The following is a 17,827-nucleotide window of genomic DNA, read 5'->3' as shown; positions in this document are numbered from 1 at the left end:
AGGAAAATTTTATGATTCCTCTTAATGCTAAAGATATTAAGAGAAAATTAGAGGATTTCTCTTAAAGAATAGGACAACTATAATAGGCCATTACAATTAAGTTCAGACAGATTTGAAAAGGAGAAAGATCAGCAAGAGTATTTCTTGCATTATTAAGTAATTTTCAAGGTGATATTGCTGGGAAGACAGGTGTGGTATTTGCTATATGGCATATGGTATATAGTGGAACTGAGAAGTTTGTGGAATTAAGACTGTAAGGGAGAGTACTAGATCACATTAAAGTAAGTCAAATAACCCAAAAGTAGTCCAGCTCTAAGTTATATGCTGGACATCCCCACAATTAGAATTACCTTTCTGAGAGTAGTGACGGCTGGCAGTAGCTGAGCTAATTCTGAACACATGTGCTCTCTTATTTTCCACTAGGGGAAGTTCTGTAGGAAAGGCATTAGAGGAATATGTATGCAAGCAAAACAAACACCAAAATCATAAGGAAAAGAAAAAGAAAGGTATTCTAATCTAAAAAGGTCAGCTACCTGATGTAGAAAGGAAAAGATCCAACTTAAGCAGGTTAACAAGTCAGCTGAGGCTGCCTGAAAGAACAGATGTACCACAGAGGAAAATGCAACACTAGAGACATAGCCCATTTTGACACAAATAGGTGACAGAAAGGAACATGTCTGCGCTGCTGCTGAGTTTGCAAGGCCTAGAAATTTCAAATACTGAGGAAAAGCAAGGTTTTGAGGAGCATGCTGTAAGGGCCATAGTGGTCCCTGTGGGACCACGGGCCTTAAAGGAATGTTAAAGGCCATTCTCCAGCTGAGACAAATGGAGAGGAAAGGAGGACAAACCCCTCCAAGAGACAGGATTCATAGATACAAGGAATTTCACAGCATGACAGGATCTTAATGGGCACACAAAAGTGCAGAACAATCAGGAAGCTCAGAATTGTAAGGAATGCAAGGCCACAAACTGTGCTCTGCAGAACTGCTGGCTACAAATGTAAATCACTCTCCTCTCAAAAATGAGAGAAGGCTTTGTCATTAGATAGAACTCAATCATTTCAGCATTAGGTTGCCAGGAACATAGGGTTCAAAAAAGATATCAAAATTAAGCTTTAAATGTGCAGGATGGATAATAGGGAAAAAAGGGAAACTCTATGATACCTGGTAGCTGAGTATTATCACCCTGGCAAATCTCTAACAATTGTCTAAGAAAAAGAATGAGTCCTGGCCAGTCGCAGTGGCTCACTCCTGTAATCCCAGCACTTTGGGAGGCTGAGGCCGGCAGATCACGAGGTCAGGAGATCGAGGACATCCTGGCTAACATGGTAAAACCCCGTCTCTACTAAAATACAAAAAATTAGCCGGGTGTGGTGGTGGACGCCCGGTAATCCCAGCTGCTCGGGAGGCTGAGGCAGGAGAAATGCTTGAACCTGGGAGGCAGAGGTTGCAGGGAGCCGAGATCACGCCACTGCACTCCAGCCTGGACGACAGAGCGAGACTCCATCTCAAAAAAAAAACAAACAAAAAAAACCCAAAATGAGTCCTATGCCAGAGAAGCATCAATATACATTGAATAAATCTCTTCTATAGATGGTAAACAGTGCCCCTATAAGCATGGAAGATTCCTCCCAACTGAGTTTAGCCCTAGAGTCTATAGATTACAGAAAGCTGATTCAGACTGGCAAGCCAAAAGCCAAGATTGTTATGTTTTCTTTGAAAACCCTCTGTTCCCCAGAAACCAAAGTTTATATTCTGTTTTTGGCTGCAAAAAATAATGTGGGTTAGGACTGTATAAATAAAATGTCAACATCTGGGCTGTTTGGTACAGAGATGAGAGATCTTCTTATATCAATCCTAGGGACGTTCTAACATACCGGAAAGTGTGGCATCAACTACCTTGAAATTGGACAAATTCAGCTTTGGAGGTGCTAAGCTAACTAAATCCATTCCAATGGAAGCCAGCCCACATTGCAGCTGCTGAAGAAGCTACCCTGACTGTACCCAAACACTCAAGCAAACGCTTTCTGGCTGACTAAACTGAACAGTATAAGAAACCAGGGTGAGCACATATTTGGAATTCAATTGCCTTTCATTTTAATTCAGAGGATGAGCATAGATGTTGGAATTTAATCATGAGAGGGCTCATAACAGTCAGATTTGGGAGATTCTGTGTTGCTAATACAGAATTATATGGAGTGCTTTAGGCTGTCATTTGGTTCACCACAGAACATCTAGAGAGCTATGACACCTTGGCTTAGAAAAATTTGAGATGGGAAATAGAAGTGAATTGCCAGCCTGTAGTATCTCAAGGCCTGGTGTTAATAGTTATCCACCCATTTCAAAGCTTTCTTGGGTAAAAATTTAAATAACCTCTTAAGCTGGTATTCGGATGATACAAAAAAGAACAGTTATTGGTAGAGGAAAGTAGCCACATAAGCATTTAAGATAGAACAAAGCATTCCCTGAGCTAGTAAGAAAATAGACCAAAAGACAAGGCAAACTTGGAAAAAAGAACTTACAGCTACTTGGTCCAGCTACTTTGTGCTGGAGTTTGGGGTGGGGCTTTGGTGCCTGAATTCTATCATTCAGCCCACTGAGATTCTCAACTCAGGTTGTTTATATAAGGAAGTATCAATAACCAAACGAGACATAAGAAGATGCACTTTTGACTGAAGGGCAAGTACTTGTTAATCTCCCATATGCAGTGCTTCTCTCATAAAACAAAGTTGGAAAATGAGGCTTTGCTTGATAAGCCAAACTTTAAATTGCCCCTACATATCCCAATAATCTAAATTTTGGAAGCTGCACAGTCGTATGTCCTACATGGGAAAAATGAGAGATGGTTTGGCCCAAACCCAGCTTATGGAGTCCATCATAACACATACCTTACCTGTCCTACTCAGCAGATGGATTCCTTAAATACAACAAGGTAGCCCTCAACAGAGTAACTTTACCATTAATAAAACAACAGTGTCTTCAGTTCTAACTTAATTAGATTAGCAACTCCTCTCTCATTTGACAAAGTGAGGAAGTGAGGTAGATATGAGCTCAAGATGCCTCATTTCCTTTCAGCTTCTTACATTCGTGCTTTTCAAGCTTCTTTTTTATGTAGCAGAATTCATTCTCAAATAAGCTAATCTGATATAATTTATATAGACAGCATGGTCTCTATGTAGCAAGAATTAACAGCCTGGCAACCAAAAAATGGAAGAGGCTCCCTTCAATATTCGGGGGGTTTTTTTGAGACAGAGTTTCGCTCTTGTTGCCCAGGCTGGAGTGCAATGGCACGATCTCGGCTCACAACAACTTCCGCCTCCTGGGTTCAATCGATTCTCATGCCTCAGCCCCCTGAGTAGCTGGGATTACAGGCATGCGTCACCCGGCTAATTTTTGTATTTTTAGTAGAGACGGGGTTTCACCATGTTGGCCAGGTTAGTCGTGAACTCCTGGCCTCAAGTGATCTGCCTGCCCCAGCTTCCCAAAGTGCTGGGATTACAGGCGTAAGCCACTGTGCCCGGCCTGGCTCCCTTCAATATTATACTTAATGATTCACTTACAAAAATTTTGCTTCTAATCTCAGCAATTAGTCTTTCTGCTAGTGGGTTCTGTTAGTTTAGAGATTTTGAGGCCCAAAAGAAAAGTGATTCCACCAAGTGATAGAAAAATGTTTCCATGGGATTGAAAGTTAAGACTGTGACCTGCCTATATTAGCCTCCTCATTTTTACCTCCTGTTCAGGTAAAAAGAACAAAAGACAGGGCTTTGAAGGCTAGCTTAATATTCAACGTAAGTTCATAACAATGTCAAAAGAATCTTCAAAAATACTGACAGCCATAATACCATTTCTATTCTTCGCAAAGACTACATTCCTCAACCTCCAGCTTTGCCTTCTTACTCCTTCATTTTAGCAGATGATCTCATTCTATTTTTTTTTTTTAGAGAAAAGAGAAATCACTGGATAGAAACTCCTTCATTCTTCTGATTCCAAACACACCTACTATCAATCCCCTCTTTCTTCCCACTTCTTATGGAAGAGGAACTGCCCCGCCACCCCTGTCTGAGATTAATCACATTTGCTTTGGATCTCATATCAGGAATTATCTATTAATTGCCCACTCTGTCTCATATATATCCAACCTCTACATCTCTTTTTCCCACTAGTTTTTAAAGACACCTATATCTTTCCCATTTAAACAAATAAAACCCAGCAACCTTCGTTTGACTCCCTCTCCCTTCAAGGCCAAATTTCTCAAAACAGCTGCCAGAATTTCCTCATATTCTACTCACTTCAGCTTACATTAATCTGATTCCCATTTGTCTGCCCATCAAAATAAGTCTTACTACAGTCAACAAACCACTCTGTGTTGCTATGTCCTACTATAAGTATTTTTAGTTTTAATCTTATTCTGATCTTTTACCAGCTTCAAAAGTTGCAGTCCTCCTGTGAATACAGTGCTTTAGACCATTTGGCCATCCTGACTTGCTGGGAAGGAGAAACAATTTCTTCCCAATTTTCGAAACTCTCATTTTTCTCCTATTCTTCTGGTGATTCCTTTGTTATCTCCTCCATAGGCCCATTTTCTATCCTTTATTCTGGACTCTGGACTCTTGACTCTTCACAGCTTCAATGAAGAAGTTATCTTCTATATGCAGATAATTCACAAATATATACATCTAACCCACAACTTTCCAGACCTGTCAATTTGTCATATATACTTCAGTGTCACAATGATATCACAAATTAAACACATCTAAAACACAAATTATAATCCTTTCCCCAATGCTTTGATCCTTTTCCAATACCTCCTTTCTCAGTGAATAGTGTCATCATCCATTTAGTTATGCATTCCAGAACCCTAGAGATCATAAGTGACACCTTATGCTGAATCCCTCAACATCCAATCATGTACCAGCATCACAATACAAATAGCTAACACTTACTGAGATGTTACTTGTTATCAGGTCGTATTTTAAGTTATCTTAATTTGGTTACCTAATTTAGTTATCACAACCACATATGGCAGTTATCATCACCAAGTCCTGTTGATTTTATTATCTTTTTAATCTATCACTTTTTCTTCATTGATGTTGCTTATGGCTGCCACTGTCATCACCTCAGTCCAAAGGACCATCATGTCTCACTGGACCACTACAGCTTCCTATTTGGTCTGCCAGCAAGCACTCTGAAAACTCTTTAATTCATTTACCACAAAGCAGTAAGTCTTTTTTTTTTTTTTTTTTTTTTTTTTGAGACGGAGTCTCACTCTGTCTCCAGGCTGGAGTGCAATGGTGCAATCTTGGCTCACCACAACCTCTGCCTCCCGGGTTCAACCAATTCTCCTGCCTCAGTCTTCTGAGTAGCTTGGACTACAGGCACGTGCGACTATGCCTGGCTAATTTTTTGTATTTTTAGTAAAGATGGAGTTTCACCATGTTAGCCAGACTGGTCTCAAACTCCTGACCTCAGGTGATCCACCTGTCTCAGCCTCCCAAAGTGCTGGGATTACATGTGTGAGCCATTGTGCCAGGCCAAGTCATCTTTTTTAAAGAAGAAAACATACCATCTCTACAAACATGCATGCACATGCACACAAACATGCATACACAGATTTTAGAATAAGGGCAAATCACCTAACTTGACTTATGAAGCTATGCATGGGCAGGTCTCTAGCTACTTCGCCAGTTTCATCTAGAACCATCGTCCGCCTTATGTTCTGTGCTCCAATTACACTGACCTTTAATCAGTCTCGAACTTGCCATTCTATAATAAAGTAGGTCTCCAACTCAGAGCCTCTGAATATGTTGTTCCCTCTACTTGAGTCACTCTTCCCTTTTCTCTTTACCTAGTTAACACCTACTCTTATTTCAGCTCTCAATGACCATTTCCTTAGAGAAAACTTCCTGATGGTCAAATTACCCACCCATATGCCCTCGTTGTACCATGTTATTCTCCTGTGTAATACCTACCACTGTTGCAATATTACATTTATTTGTGTGATTACTTGACTAATGTCTTGCTTTTCTACTAGCCTATAAACCACAAGAGGATTGGGACTGTCAGGGTTTGCTTATCATTGCAACCCCAGAATCTAGCAAAATGTTTAGCATACAGTGGGTTGTCAATAAGTATTCATTTCAATGAATGAACTTGGAAGCCAAATTGAACTAGAGTAATAAATAAATAGTAAGTAAGAAAATGTAGTGAACCGCATGTTCTCACTCATAGGTGGGACTTGAACAATGAGAACACACGGACACAGGAAGGGGAACATCACACTTTGGGGACTGTTGTGGGGTGGGGGGAGGGGGGAGGGATAGCATTAGGAGATATACCTAATACTAAATGACGAGTTAATGGGTGCAGCACACCAATATGGCACATGTATACATATGTAACAAACCTGCACATTGTGCACATGTACCCTAAAACTTAAAGTATAATAATAATAAAATTAAAAAAAAAACAAAAGAAAATGTAGTGAATTTACTCAGCTTTTCATCTTAATGGGGGGAGAGAAGTATTTAGAGGGGTATGTTGAGATTAAGAATGGGTTTGCTGGTTGTTTGGTTCAAAAGCTGGAGAGGTTAAAACAAGCTTAAGTGCTAATAGCAAGAATCCAGCAAAGAAGAAAAGTTAAAGATGCTCAACAAAGATGGAATAACCAACAGTATAATACTTCTGAGAAGCCCAGCATCCAGGAAGCCAAAGCCTAGGTAGAAGTACTGGCCTTAGAAAAAGCAGCAGCATCTCCATTGTAGCAGGATAAGAAGAGAAAAGGGAAAGTGTCAAAATAGGTTTATAGATCTGGTGGTAGAAAGTGAAAAGGTAGACAGTTCTAGACTAATGACTTCTATTTATCTATGGTGTCAAAAGAAGGTGATCTGCTGAAAGTGAGGATCTAGAGAAAGGACTCAGATTGGAGGAAAATAGTAAAACAAAAAGATTGCTCACGGGCACTGATAGTCTAGTGGAAATTAGTGGCCAAGCACTTACTTGGCAGAAGTTGCCCAGTGAGATATTTTCCAGCTGTGCTTGGAGCCTTGCACAAAGAAGGTAATCAGTCATCAATACTCAAGTTTGCCAGATGGACATGAAAAAGGGACAGAGGGTCAAGAAAACTGGGACACTGGAGAGACAGTGGAGTGACAATAGCTTCTAAGCTGGACAGACAGAAAAAGAAAACAGAAAACAGTAAAGTACAGGAAAAAGAATAAGAAGGTCTGGATGACTGGAATTGTCAATGAAAGTTAAGAGAATTAAATGAGACAAAGCATGTAAAACACTCTGCAGAGTGGCTGGAACAGTTATAAGTGCTCAAGAAGTCTTATTAATATCAAGGGTTTAACACTGAAGGTTTAGATTATTCACAAGAGAACCTAAAGATAATGACATGTAGTAATTTACAGTCAGACAGATGAGAATACAGAAGCAAAGTCATTTTAGCCGGAAGGTGAGCCCAGTTAACTGCCCAGTATCTAATTGTGAAATCAGCTTTGTAGTTCTCTCACATAACTCTCAATAAGGACTTTAACATAAGCTTTCAAGTTCCAGTTATGCTTTAATTCATTTAATGTGGAGAAACTATAAACTATGGTGGTACTCAGGAAGGTCTTAAAACATCTTCCTCCAATGTTAAGAGACTCCTGGACTTCATTAACACAAAAGAAGAGTATGGCAACAGCAATGTGCATGTGCAATAGTGACTGTGACCCAGACCTGCCTTGTAAAGCCTCTATTTTACATATCAGGTAATAACATTAATCTAAGCAAAAAGTTAAAGAAATAAATGAAAAGGTACTCAATCCAATTAAATAAGATGCTCCTATACACCCAGTTAGAATGGCTAAAGTGATAAGACTGACAACATCAAGTGATGGCAGGGATGCGGAGCAAAAACCTCTCTCACACACAACTGGCAGAAGCGTAACATGGTACAATCACTTTGGAAAACTACACGACGATATCTTTTAAAGCTGAAGGTGGTATAGCTTATGACTCAAAAATTCCTGTTTGGTATTTCCCAACACAAATATTAATACATACATATGCATACCAAAAGGCATGTACAAAGTGTACAAAAATGTTCAAAGTAGTACTAGTCTTAATAGTTCCAAACTAGAAATAACCCAAATGTTCATAATGATAGAATGGATAAATTGTGCTATATTCATTCAATGGGATACTATATACCACAAGGATGAAGTAGCGCTACACACAGCACAGATGAATCTCACAAACAATGTTGGCTTTAAGAAAACAAAACACAAGAGTTTATGCCATATGATTACATTTATATAAGTTCAAACACAGGAAAAACCCACTTTTTGCCGATGTGCTGCAGACTTTCATGAATGCACCACACACCAAAGACAGAACAAAGAGCTCCTCTTAATAACAGGGGTGCATAGTGCCCTTAGAAGATGGCATGGCATGGTATTTATCAATGGTTGCTTCTGCTCTAACTTCGATGGTTACAGAGTTAGAATAGTTGTTACTACTGTGGGGTTGGTGACTGAGAAGGGCATAAGGGGGGACCTCTGGTGTACTGGTCATGTTCTCGTCTTGTTGGTGGGATGTGCACTTTGTAATAATTGAGCTATACATTTATGATTTGTGCCCTCTTATATGTATCCCATACTTCACTGGAGAGTTTACTTAGAAACAAAAGGCTAGAAATGACAAAAACAATGTAGGAAAAGGCTTTAGAAGAAGCCGAGGCTGCTGGCTCTGCAGAATCCCCTTTTGCCTCTATGTATAGAATCGGCCACTATACTACAGAGAGATGGAATGACCCAAATCATGTTATCTAAAATAACAAAATGAAATAATGAGAGAGCAGGATTGGAACTGAGGTATGCTAATCTCACAATGTTCTCAAATTCTTGAAGGAATGTTTCTGGATGTTTACAGAGGGGTCCTTGTCATCTAGGCACTCATTATCCTGATCCTTAAAGCAATGAGATTGTAAAGGGATGTAAAAGTAGTCATAACACAAAAATATTTACTAAAGAACAAGAGCACTTATAAAGTTGGTCCTCACTCAAACATTCCTACTCTGGCTCAGACCAGCCACTGTTTCTGCCAATTCCCATCAACTGCCCTTGTCAGTCATTCTCGGTCAATTGTTTCCTGTGTTATGATGTTAAACAGGACAATACAATATAACCATAATGTAAATCAATTGCGAAGTGAAACTGCACATCTTGCAAAAGATGCATGATTCCATGAAGTTGATAAAAGTGCTATTGGAGAACTGTTTGAATCACATGCCAAACCACTGACAACAGGAGAACCTGGCAGATTAAGGTCAGTTAATCATTGTGGAGGGGACCCCTGGTTGTTCACCAGGTAACCATTTTTTCCTTCCTACTCAGTAACAGAACCCTGATTTTTCAGTAATTGTACTTCTATTGTAACGGTAAATAAGTGATGTTAATATACTCCAAAGCTAAGAAATGTGAGTCACTTTTTAAATCCAAAGAGCTAAACGGACAGTCTCAGATAATCCTCTGCTCCTCAAGTAAATATTTGCTGCTGCAATCCAGTTTCACCCTATTTAGGGATTAAGGCAATGCTTTACAATGCTATGATCCACGAATGAAAACATATATTCGAGGGAGTGGGAGGGAACCTAATGAGTCTTCAACGAGTTTAAGCCCTGGTTAACTATGTTCAACTACCATTACAGGCAGGCAATAGCTAAATGCACCAGCAATTTGAAGTCTGTGGTATTGTAGATACAAAAAGGTTTACATGAAAGGAACATGAATTTGAAAATAGATACATGAAAGTCAGTTACATAAATTAACGAATTCAGGCATTCACAGTACTTCAGCACAAAGGCCAGGCCAGGAAAGATTTAAAAGCATTCCCACAGACTGCACTGGTGCACTGTAGCAGGAGCTGGTGAACAAAGACAAAATCCCAGCAGTCAGCGTTTGCTTATAGAAACCAGAAGTTAATATCTTCATAAAAATCTTAAATTCCTCTACTGTTGCCCATATTCCCAGCAGAACCACCAGACAAAGCAAACTAGGTTTTGCAGTTACACATAACTCACATCCTGCTTTGTCCCCTTGAAACAGGATCCCAGTCAACAAAACCCAAACATTCCCACAAATCTACTTAGATGTGTATTATCTATAAATAAAGCTTACAGAAAGGAAAAAGTGACTTTCTATGCTTATCGGTGTAGATGTTATGGAATTAAAAAAAAAAAAAGCCTCTTTGTTTCACCTTCGCCAGCGTTAAAATCCGTTCTTTTCATAACCCACCTTTCGCCGATGTGCTGCAGAATTTCACGAATGCACCACACACCAAGGACAGAACAAAGAGCTCCTCTTAATAACAGAGGCGCACAGTGCCCTTAGAAGATGGCATGGTATTTATCGATGGCTGCTTCTGCTCTAAATTAGCACGAACAGGAGGACTCCTCTTCAACTAGCTCCACCGGGGAACACAGGAGGGGGCGGGGATCCTTATTTAAGAGCAGCTGATGTCAGGCCAGCAACTCTCCTCCCTTTGGGGGCTTCGGTTTGGGCTATGCCAACGGGTTTCTTCACACAAGATCTCACGGCACCTTAAAACGGCTCGCCAATGGAAGGATCCTCGCCCCACAAAGAGATAACTAGGGCAGAGCTGTTACACAACCGATACCCGACGGCGAAAGCCAGCCTGAGGAGTCCCCCAGGAGTCTGACTTGGGAGCTACATCCTCGGCAGACGAGAAGCACTTTTGCTCGAGAATTGTTTTACGCGCCCCTCTACCAACTGCGGAATCGCTCGCCTGCGAAAACGGAAGGAGGGGCGAGGACAGAGAAAGAGGGGCGCGATCCACAGGGCGCGGGGTTCCACCCCGGGAACCAGGGGCCCGAGCCCCGGACCACCTCCCACCGTCGTCCGTCACTCCCACAGAGGCGGTACCTGTTTCCGCATGTTATTCATGACGCCCATGAAACCCGCCAACAATTTAGCTTCTTCCCGAGCAGCAAGTTTCTTCTCGGTCTTCTTCTTGCTGCTCTTCTCCACCCCAGAGGCTGCCATCCTCCCTCAGCTCGGTTCACGCCCGGGGCTCGCCGGGCCGGGCGAGGGGTCGCACTCTCTGGGCACACTGGGGATTCTATCGACCAAACACGGCGATCGGCAGTGCAGCTGCAGCGCCCAGCTCTGGAACGCGCGGCAGGCGGCGGTGGCTCGGCCACTGCCGAAAGACAAGGCCGGGCGGCCCCCTTAGAAACGCTCAGGGAGCGACGCTACCAACTGGGCTGCGTCCCCGGGCAGAACCCGAGCCCTGCCCAGGAGCCTGCGCACTTCGCGCAAGGAGGCGGGGGCACTATGAGGAGAGTCAGGGGCGGGGCCTGACACGTCACAGTGGCGCGCCGTTCCGAGCAATGAGACTGCAGGCACAGGTGCGGCCGGATTCCCTGTCGCTGTCCCGCGCTGAGTGAATTTTGCCTCGGAGCTGGTCCGAGGTCGCGCCTGCTCTTTTGTGTGCCCAAGGCAGATTTCCAGGTTTCGGTTACGTGATTATCTTTTTTTTTTTTTTTTTTTTGATAATTGGGTTGTGGAACATGCAAAGGTGTCTCCCATCAGTGTAAGGCTTCATGGGACAGGGTCGGTGTTCAGTGCAGTATCTGAGCCTGGTGTATGGTAGGCGCTCAATAAATATTAAATGATGAAAGGATATTACTGCAAGTTAAAGTCATGTTACACGGAGCACAAGATTTATTTTCGTGGGATTCATAACGCAAGAGCACACAGTCCCGTTGGTGTCTCCTTGGCGTGCAATGAATGTCTGCCTAACTAGGCTGGCTTACTGTGTGTTTACAACTGAAATCAGTTGTCAGTCGGTTCTAGAAATCTTCAGTTAGGCTTCTCTAAGTGTTTTACGGGAACACGGAACTCAATCACAGCCCTCATGGAAATGTTTTTTGTAACCATATTCTTTCTACTGTATAGTAATATACAGGATTATTTGAAATTGTACATTATTTAACATTATGAAAACTTTATATCTCATTGGTTTTCCTCCTCGGTCTATATAGGACTATACAGAGACATTTTATGTAAAATAATTTACACCATTGAGGCTTTTTTTTTTTTTTTTGGAGGCAGGGTCTCGGCCCTGTCGCCCAGGCTGGGGGTGCGGTGCAGTGGCTAATCATAGCTCACTGAAGCCTCAGCACTCCTGGGCTCAAGCAATCCTCCCATCTCAGCCTCCCAAGTAGCTGAAACTACAGGCGTGCAACACCACTCTGGGCTAAGTTTTAATTTTTAAATTTTTTTGGTGGTGGTGGTGGTGGTGGTGGTGGTGGTGAAGAGGTCACACTATGTTGCCCAGGCTTGTCTCGAACTCCTGGTGTTATGCAATCCTCCCGCCTAGGCCTCCCAAAGTGCTGGGATTACAGGAATGAGCGGCCAGGCCTGGCCCACAGTATACTTTTCTTGTTGAGGACAAACCATATAGCATAATCCAGATGAAAGAGCAAGCTATATATACGCCTCAATTTTTACAAAAGAGTAAGATACTTATGTCTCTGTACTCTTTATCTTTCTTCTATTAATCTAGAGGTTCTCAGATGTGCCTCTATTTTAACTAGTTGATTTGGGGATTTCAGGTGAACCCTGGCAATAGGAATAATTTATTGTTAATAAAATTATAAATGAGAAAATTTTTCATTCACTTTATTAAATGACCCAGGACACTGAAGAAAAACGGAATAAATTTTTTTCTTTTTTTTTTAATTGAAAAGAAGTAGAAATCTGTCTTCTAACTCTAAGGCCTTGGGAGATGAAGGATCCGTGATTCAAAGGCAGAAATGTAAGTGATGAAAAAGAATGCTGTCCTGTAATAAGGCAAAAAAGAAACGAGGAACAGCATCCTTAGTCCTTGATGTTAGAACAGTCTTTTTACATATTGCTGAATATAAAACATCAAAGTTCATGGAAGAGCCATAGGATTCAGAGCTCAAAGAGGCCACAGAGATTATATAGTACAGGGATTAAGCATGAGACTTTGCCTGGATGCAAAGTCAAACATCTCAACTTTCTAGTTGTGCAACTTTGGGCAAATTGATTAACTTCTGTTATGCCTCAGTCTCCTTATCTGTGAAAGTAGAACCTACTACATGGAACTGGCGTAAGGTTTATAAAAATGCTTAGAGGGGTGCCAGCACAAGACACTTAAAATTACTTTACTGAGTTAATAATACACACATACTTCAGAGATATTTTGGGTTCTGTTCCAGACCACCACATAAAGTAAATATCGCAGTAAAGTGAATCACACAAATTTTTTGGTTTCCCAAAACATATGCAAGTTATGTTTACACTATACTGTGGTCTATTAAGTGTGCAATAATATTATGTCTGCAAAAGCAATGCACATACCTTAAAAAGTGCTTTGTTGCCAAAAAGTTGCTAATGATCATCTAAGCCTTTGCAAGTTGCAAGTTTTAAATTTATTTTTATTTTTATTTCTTTTTTTTTAAGAGATGGAGTCTTGCTGTGTTCTCCAGGATTGAGTACAGTGGCTTATTCACAGATGTGATCATACTACACTACAGCCTCAAACTCCCGGGGTCAAGCAGTCCTCCTGCTTCAGCCTCCTGAGGAGCTGGGACTACAGGCCCACATCACCATGCCCACTAGATTCACAGTCATTTTGCTTGTGGAAGGTCTTGCCTCAATGTTGATAGGTGCTGACTGATCAGGGTCAGGTTGCTGACTGATCAGAATGGTAGTTTCTGAATGTTGGGAATGGCTATGGCAATTTCTTAAAATAAGACAACAATGAAGTTTGCTGCATTGATTGACTCCCTTTCACAAAGGATTTCTCCATATCATGCAATGCTGTTTGATAGCATTTTACCCATAGTAGAACTTCTTTCAAAATTGGAGTCAATTCTCTCAAACCTTGTCTCTGCTTGGTCAACTAAGTTTATGCACTATTCCACATCCTTTGTTGTCATTTCAACAATATTTACAGAGTCTTCACCATGAATAGATTCCTTTTCAAACAACCACTTTCTTTGCTCAGCCATAAGAAGCAACTCTTCACCCATTCAAGTTTTATCATGAGATTGCAGCAATTCAGTCACATCAAATTCCACTTCTAATTCTAGTTGTTTTTCTATTTCCACCACATCTGCAGGTACTTTCTCCACAGAAATTTCAAACCTCTCAAAGTCATCCGTGAGGGTTGGAATCAACTTCCAAATTTCTGTGAATGTTGATATTTTGACCTCCTCCTAATCACAAATGTTCTTAATGGCATCTAGAATGGTGAATCTTTTCCAGAAGGTTTTCTATGTGCTTTGCCCAGTTCCATCAGAAGAATCACTGTCTGTGGTAGCTCTAGCCTTATTAAATGTATATTTTAAATAATAACACCTAAAAATCAAAATGACTCCTTGATCCATGGGCTGTAGAATAGACATTGTGTTAGCAGTCATGAAAACAAGATTAATCTCCTCATATAGCACCATTATAGCTCTTGGGTGACCACGTGCATTGTCAATGACCAGTAATATTTTGAAAGGACACCTTTTTTTTTGAGCAGTAGGTCTCAACAGTGGACTTAAAATATTCAGAAAGCTGTGTTGTAAACAGATGTGCTGCCAGCTAGGTATCGTTGTTCCATTTATAGAGCACTGGTAGAGCAGATTTAGCATAATTTGTCAGGACCCTAGGATTTTTGGAATGGTAAATGGGCACTGGCTTCAACTTCAAGTAACCAACTGCATTAACTCCTAACAAGAAGAGTCAGCCTGTCCTTGAAAGTATGAAAACAGGCATGGACTTCTCCTCTCTAGCTATGAAAGTCTTAGATGGCATCTTCTTCCAATAGAAGTTGTTTCATGTACATTGAAAATCTGTTGTTTGGTGTAGCCACCCTCTTCGATGATCTTAGCTAGATCTTCTGGATAACTTGCTACAGTTTCTACATCAGCACTTGTTGCCTTACCTTACACTTTCATGTTAAGGAGATAGCTTCTTTCCTTAAACCACAGGAACGAACCTCTGCTATCTTCTAGATTTTCTTGGGCAACTTCCTTACTTCTTTCAGCTTTCATAGAACTGAATAGTGTTAGGATCTTGCTCTGGGTTAGGTTTTGGCTTAAGGGAATGTGGTAGCTGGTTTGATTTATTTAGACCACTAAAACTTTCTTCATATCAGCATTAAGGCTGGTTTGCTTTATTATCATTTATGTGTTCACTGGAGTAGCACTTTAAATTTCCTCCAAGCTTGTTTGCTTTTCACTCACAGTGTGGCTGTTTGGTGCCAAGAGGCCTAGCTTCCCAGTCTTGGCTTTCAACATGCCTTCCTCACTAAGCATAGTCATTTCTAGCTATTTATTTAAAGTTAGAGATGTGCAACTCTTCTTTCACTTGAACACTTAGAGGCTATTGTAGGGTTATTACTTGGCTTAATTGCAATATTGTTGTGTCTGGAGGAATAGAGAGGCCTGGGGACACAAAGAGAAATGGGGAACAGCTGGTCACTGGAGCAGTGAGAACACACGCAACATTTATTGATTAAATTCGCTGTTTTATGGGCTCGGTTCATGGTGCTCCAAAACAATTATAATAGTAACATCAAACATCACTGTTCACAGGTCACCATAACAGATATAATGATAATGATAATAATAATAATGTTTGAAATATTGCAAGAATTACCAAAATGTGACTCAGAGAAACAATAAAGTGAGCACATGCTGTTGGAAAAATGGTACTGATAGACTTGATCCATGCAGGGTTGCCACAAACGATTAATTTGCAAAAAAAACAAACAAAAGAACATGCAGTATCTGTGAAGCACAATAAAGCATACTGCAAATAAAATGTGTGCCTGTCCTGTATTAACTTTGTTACTATTTAATCTAGCATTTCCCAAAATGTGTTTCTTGGAATACAACTAGTCTTATGATTCCCCTAACCTGAACTGGTTCTCTGGGAATGCACCCACAGGAGGATAGGTCCTTGGGTGATCTTGGCCAATCCAGCTCTCCCTGCAACTTGTAGTTCTCAGAATAACCGAGAATGCAACTTTCTGAGATAGAGAGGTGATGTCCAGAATAATCCATATTGTGTCCTTGTTCCTCCCAGAACAGGGTGTACTGCAGCGCTTGTTCTCAGTGATCCTAGTGCCACCTAGAGTATAAAACCCAGAGCACAGTGCTTTCAGTGTCCCTCAGCTGCAGTGGAATGTGGAGCACACACAGATAAGACCCTTTCCACACTCAGCAGCTTTCTTGAGCCTTAGAGGACTGGCTTGCTGTGGATCCTAGGCTTCTATTTATTCCTGCTGCTCATCTATCTGTGCATAGTAAATCTTTGTCTAGCCTGTGTGAGTGTTCTGTCTCTCTCACCAGACTCATGCGATTGGTAGAGAACCTTTGCGACAATTTTGGGAGACATGTAAAATATATCCTTGGTGAAAAATCCCAAAATATATTTGCATATTAAGTGTTTAGAGAAGGTTTTCTGTACCTATTACTTAAACCTATTGAACTTTTCTATAGTCCAGTACTTCTTGAAGTGTCAACTTAGCCAATTCCCATTTTCTGTGAGTTGCTTACTCCTCTGTTCACCCACAGGAGGGATTCCTAAAGCTGTACCTATTCTGTGGGGCTTTACCTCTACCTGGTCTCAGTTTATTGGATTAAGGTTGAACACCTAAACCAAAGAGACCCAATTAATAAGCTGAAGTAAAGAGCATCATGTTCTCTTTGGACACTGGACAGATGGATGTTGATGAGCTTGTGTGCAGCAGTTCTACTGGAAGTATGTACAAGGGGCTCAGCCAGCCAATTTGGACGGTGTATGTGATAAGCAGAGAAAGGCAGCAGTCTGCAGAGACTGCAGAATGAAAAAAAAAAAAAAAAAAAAAAAGCAGAAACCCAGAGAGAAATCAGACAAAAGACCAGGTGGTGGGCAGGGGTCTGGGGATTATCCAAGCTTAAAATTCAGGGTCTCTAAACTTGAACAGCCTGATTTCAAAGCTGTGGGCCTAGCAATGTGTTCACATAGCAATTTGGCTTTGTAAAATTTATAAAAGTAAGATATTTTAACCACAATAGCTTGAGTCTATTGTCTCATTTCACCCTGATTTTCCCTCTATCATACTTTTTTTTTTTTTTTTTTTAACTATCTGGTGGTGTTGAAATTGCCATATATATCTTTGGGAACAAATCACAAATTGAACTGAGGATATATTTTTTGGCATCTAGCAGGATATATATTTGTAGATCACAGTTACTTCCATACAGTTAAGCTATTTCCAGCCCTTGTAATGTAAGAATGGCATTCAGGAATAGTCCCTAGTCCCACTGTGCCAACCCTATCTTGTGATGCCAAAGATGCAGGGCCTGAGATCTCCTAATATGTCTTACAGTAACCAGCACTGAAAGTATTTAAGTAGTGGAGGAGAAGCAAGTTTTAAACAGGTTTCATCAGCTAAGCCACAAGCTGGTCTATGGAAAATTCTTCAGTCATCAAATACGTAAAATTTTAAGCAGAAGGTTGGTACTCACTTCCAATCAGAAGTGGAAGGAATATATATGTCATGCATTTTTTTTTGAGACAGAGTCTCACTCTGTTGCCCAGCATGGAGTACAGTTGTGCAATCTTGGCTCACTGCAACTGCCACCTCCTGGGTTCAAGTGATTCTCCTGCCTCAGCCTCCCAGGTAGCTGGGATTACAGGTGCCTGCCACCATGCCTGGCTAATTTTTTTTTTTTTTTTTGTATTTTTAGCAGAGACGGGGTTTCACTATGTTGGACAAGCTGGTCTCCAACTCCTGACCTCTGGTAATCTGCCTAC

At 41.0% G+C, this 17,827-nt stretch overlaps 1 protein-coding gene and 1 long non-coding RNA gene across 9 annotated transcripts in view, besides 8 other annotated features; one reads left to right on the top strand and one right to left on the bottom strand.

The window, feature by feature from the left end:
- KLHL7 (kelch like family member 7) overlaps positions 1-11,286 on the bottom strand; it is a 72,130-nt gene extending 60,844 nt beyond the window's left edge. For 6 of the 8 annotated variants that reach the window (NR_033328.2, NR_033329.2, NM_001031710.3 and 3 more), the window contains exon 1: positions 10,925-11,286. Coding sequence is in view for 4 of the 8 variants with exons in the window: in NM_001031710.3 (NP_001026880.2) it covers positions 10,925-11,044 (120 nt within the window). In the remaining 4 variants the exon portion in view is untranslated. Of the gene's footprint in view, positions 1-10,276; positions 10,411-10,924 lie in introns of those variants that run through there. The other 2 variants (NM_018846.5, XM_047420615.1) reach the window with 1 other exon arrangement.
- Positions 580-1,222: an enhancer, noted in NCBI's record as "OCT4-NANOG-H3K27ac hESC enhancer chr7:23155468-23156110 (GRCh37/hg19 assembly coordinates)". NCBI's record gives its function as "activates a minimal SCP1, AML or CMV promoter by ChIP-STARR-seq in naive and primed H9 embryonic stem cells {active_cell/tissue: H9 hESC(naive and primed)}" and the evidence as "EXISTENCE:reporter gene assay evidence [ECO:0000049][PMID:30033119]".
- Positions 2,012-2,957: an enhancer, noted in NCBI's record as "H3K27ac-H3K4me1 hESC enhancer chr7:23153733-23154678 (GRCh37/hg19 assembly coordinates)". NCBI's record gives its function as "activates a minimal SCP1, AML or CMV promoter by ChIP-STARR-seq in primed H9 embryonic stem cells {active_cell/tissue: H9 hESC(primed)}" and the evidence as "EXISTENCE:reporter gene assay evidence [ECO:0000049][PMID:30033119]".
- Positions 10,125-11,111: an enhancer, noted in NCBI's record as "H3K27ac hESC enhancer chr7:23145579-23146565 (GRCh37/hg19 assembly coordinates)". NCBI's record gives its function as "activates a minimal SCP1, AML or CMV promoter by ChIP-STARR-seq in primed H9 embryonic stem cells {active_cell/tissue: H9 hESC(primed)}" and the evidence as "EXISTENCE:reporter gene assay evidence [ECO:0000049][PMID:30033119]".
- Positions 10,125-11,179: a biological region, named in NCBI's record as "H3K27ac hESC enhancer GRCh37_chr7:23145579-23146565".
- Positions 10,340-10,419: an enhancer, noted in NCBI's record as "active region_25718". NCBI's record gives its function as "activates an Ori minimal core promoter by ATAC-STARR-seq in GM12878 lymphoblastoid cells {active_cell/tissue: GM12878}" and the evidence as "EXISTENCE:reporter gene assay evidence [ECO:0000049][PMID:35858748]".
- Positions 10,900-11,179: an enhancer, noted in NCBI's record as "active region_25717". NCBI's record gives its function as "activates an Ori minimal core promoter by ATAC-STARR-seq in GM12878 lymphoblastoid cells {active_cell/tissue: GM12878}" and the evidence as "EXISTENCE:reporter gene assay evidence [ECO:0000049][PMID:35858748]".
- Positions 11,112-12,098: an enhancer, noted in NCBI's record as "H3K27ac hESC enhancer chr7:23144592-23145578 (GRCh37/hg19 assembly coordinates)". NCBI's record gives its function as "activates a minimal SCP1, AML or CMV promoter by ChIP-STARR-seq in primed H9 embryonic stem cells {active_cell/tissue: H9 hESC(primed)}" and the evidence as "EXISTENCE:reporter gene assay evidence [ECO:0000049][PMID:30033119]".
- Positions 11,300-11,489: an enhancer, noted in NCBI's record as "active region_25716". NCBI's record gives its function as "activates an Ori minimal core promoter by ATAC-STARR-seq in GM12878 lymphoblastoid cells {active_cell/tissue: GM12878}" and the evidence as "EXISTENCE:reporter gene assay evidence [ECO:0000049][PMID:35858748]".
- On the top strand, positions 11,368-15,843 carry KLHL7-DT (KLHL7 divergent transcript). The gene is made up of 3 exons (NR_046220.1): positions 11,368-11,512; positions 12,754-12,821; positions 13,493-15,843. It is a non-coding gene; the product is annotated as a KLHL7 divergent transcript (long non-coding RNA).

Source organism: Homo sapiens, chromosome 7, assembly GCF_000001405.40.
Source record: "Homo sapiens chromosome 7, GRCh38.p14 Primary Assembly".
NCBI classification, from domain to species: Eukaryota; Metazoa; Chordata; class Mammalia; order Primates; family Hominidae; genus Homo; species Homo sapiens.
This window is presented reverse-complemented; position numbering and strand designations above follow the sequence as displayed.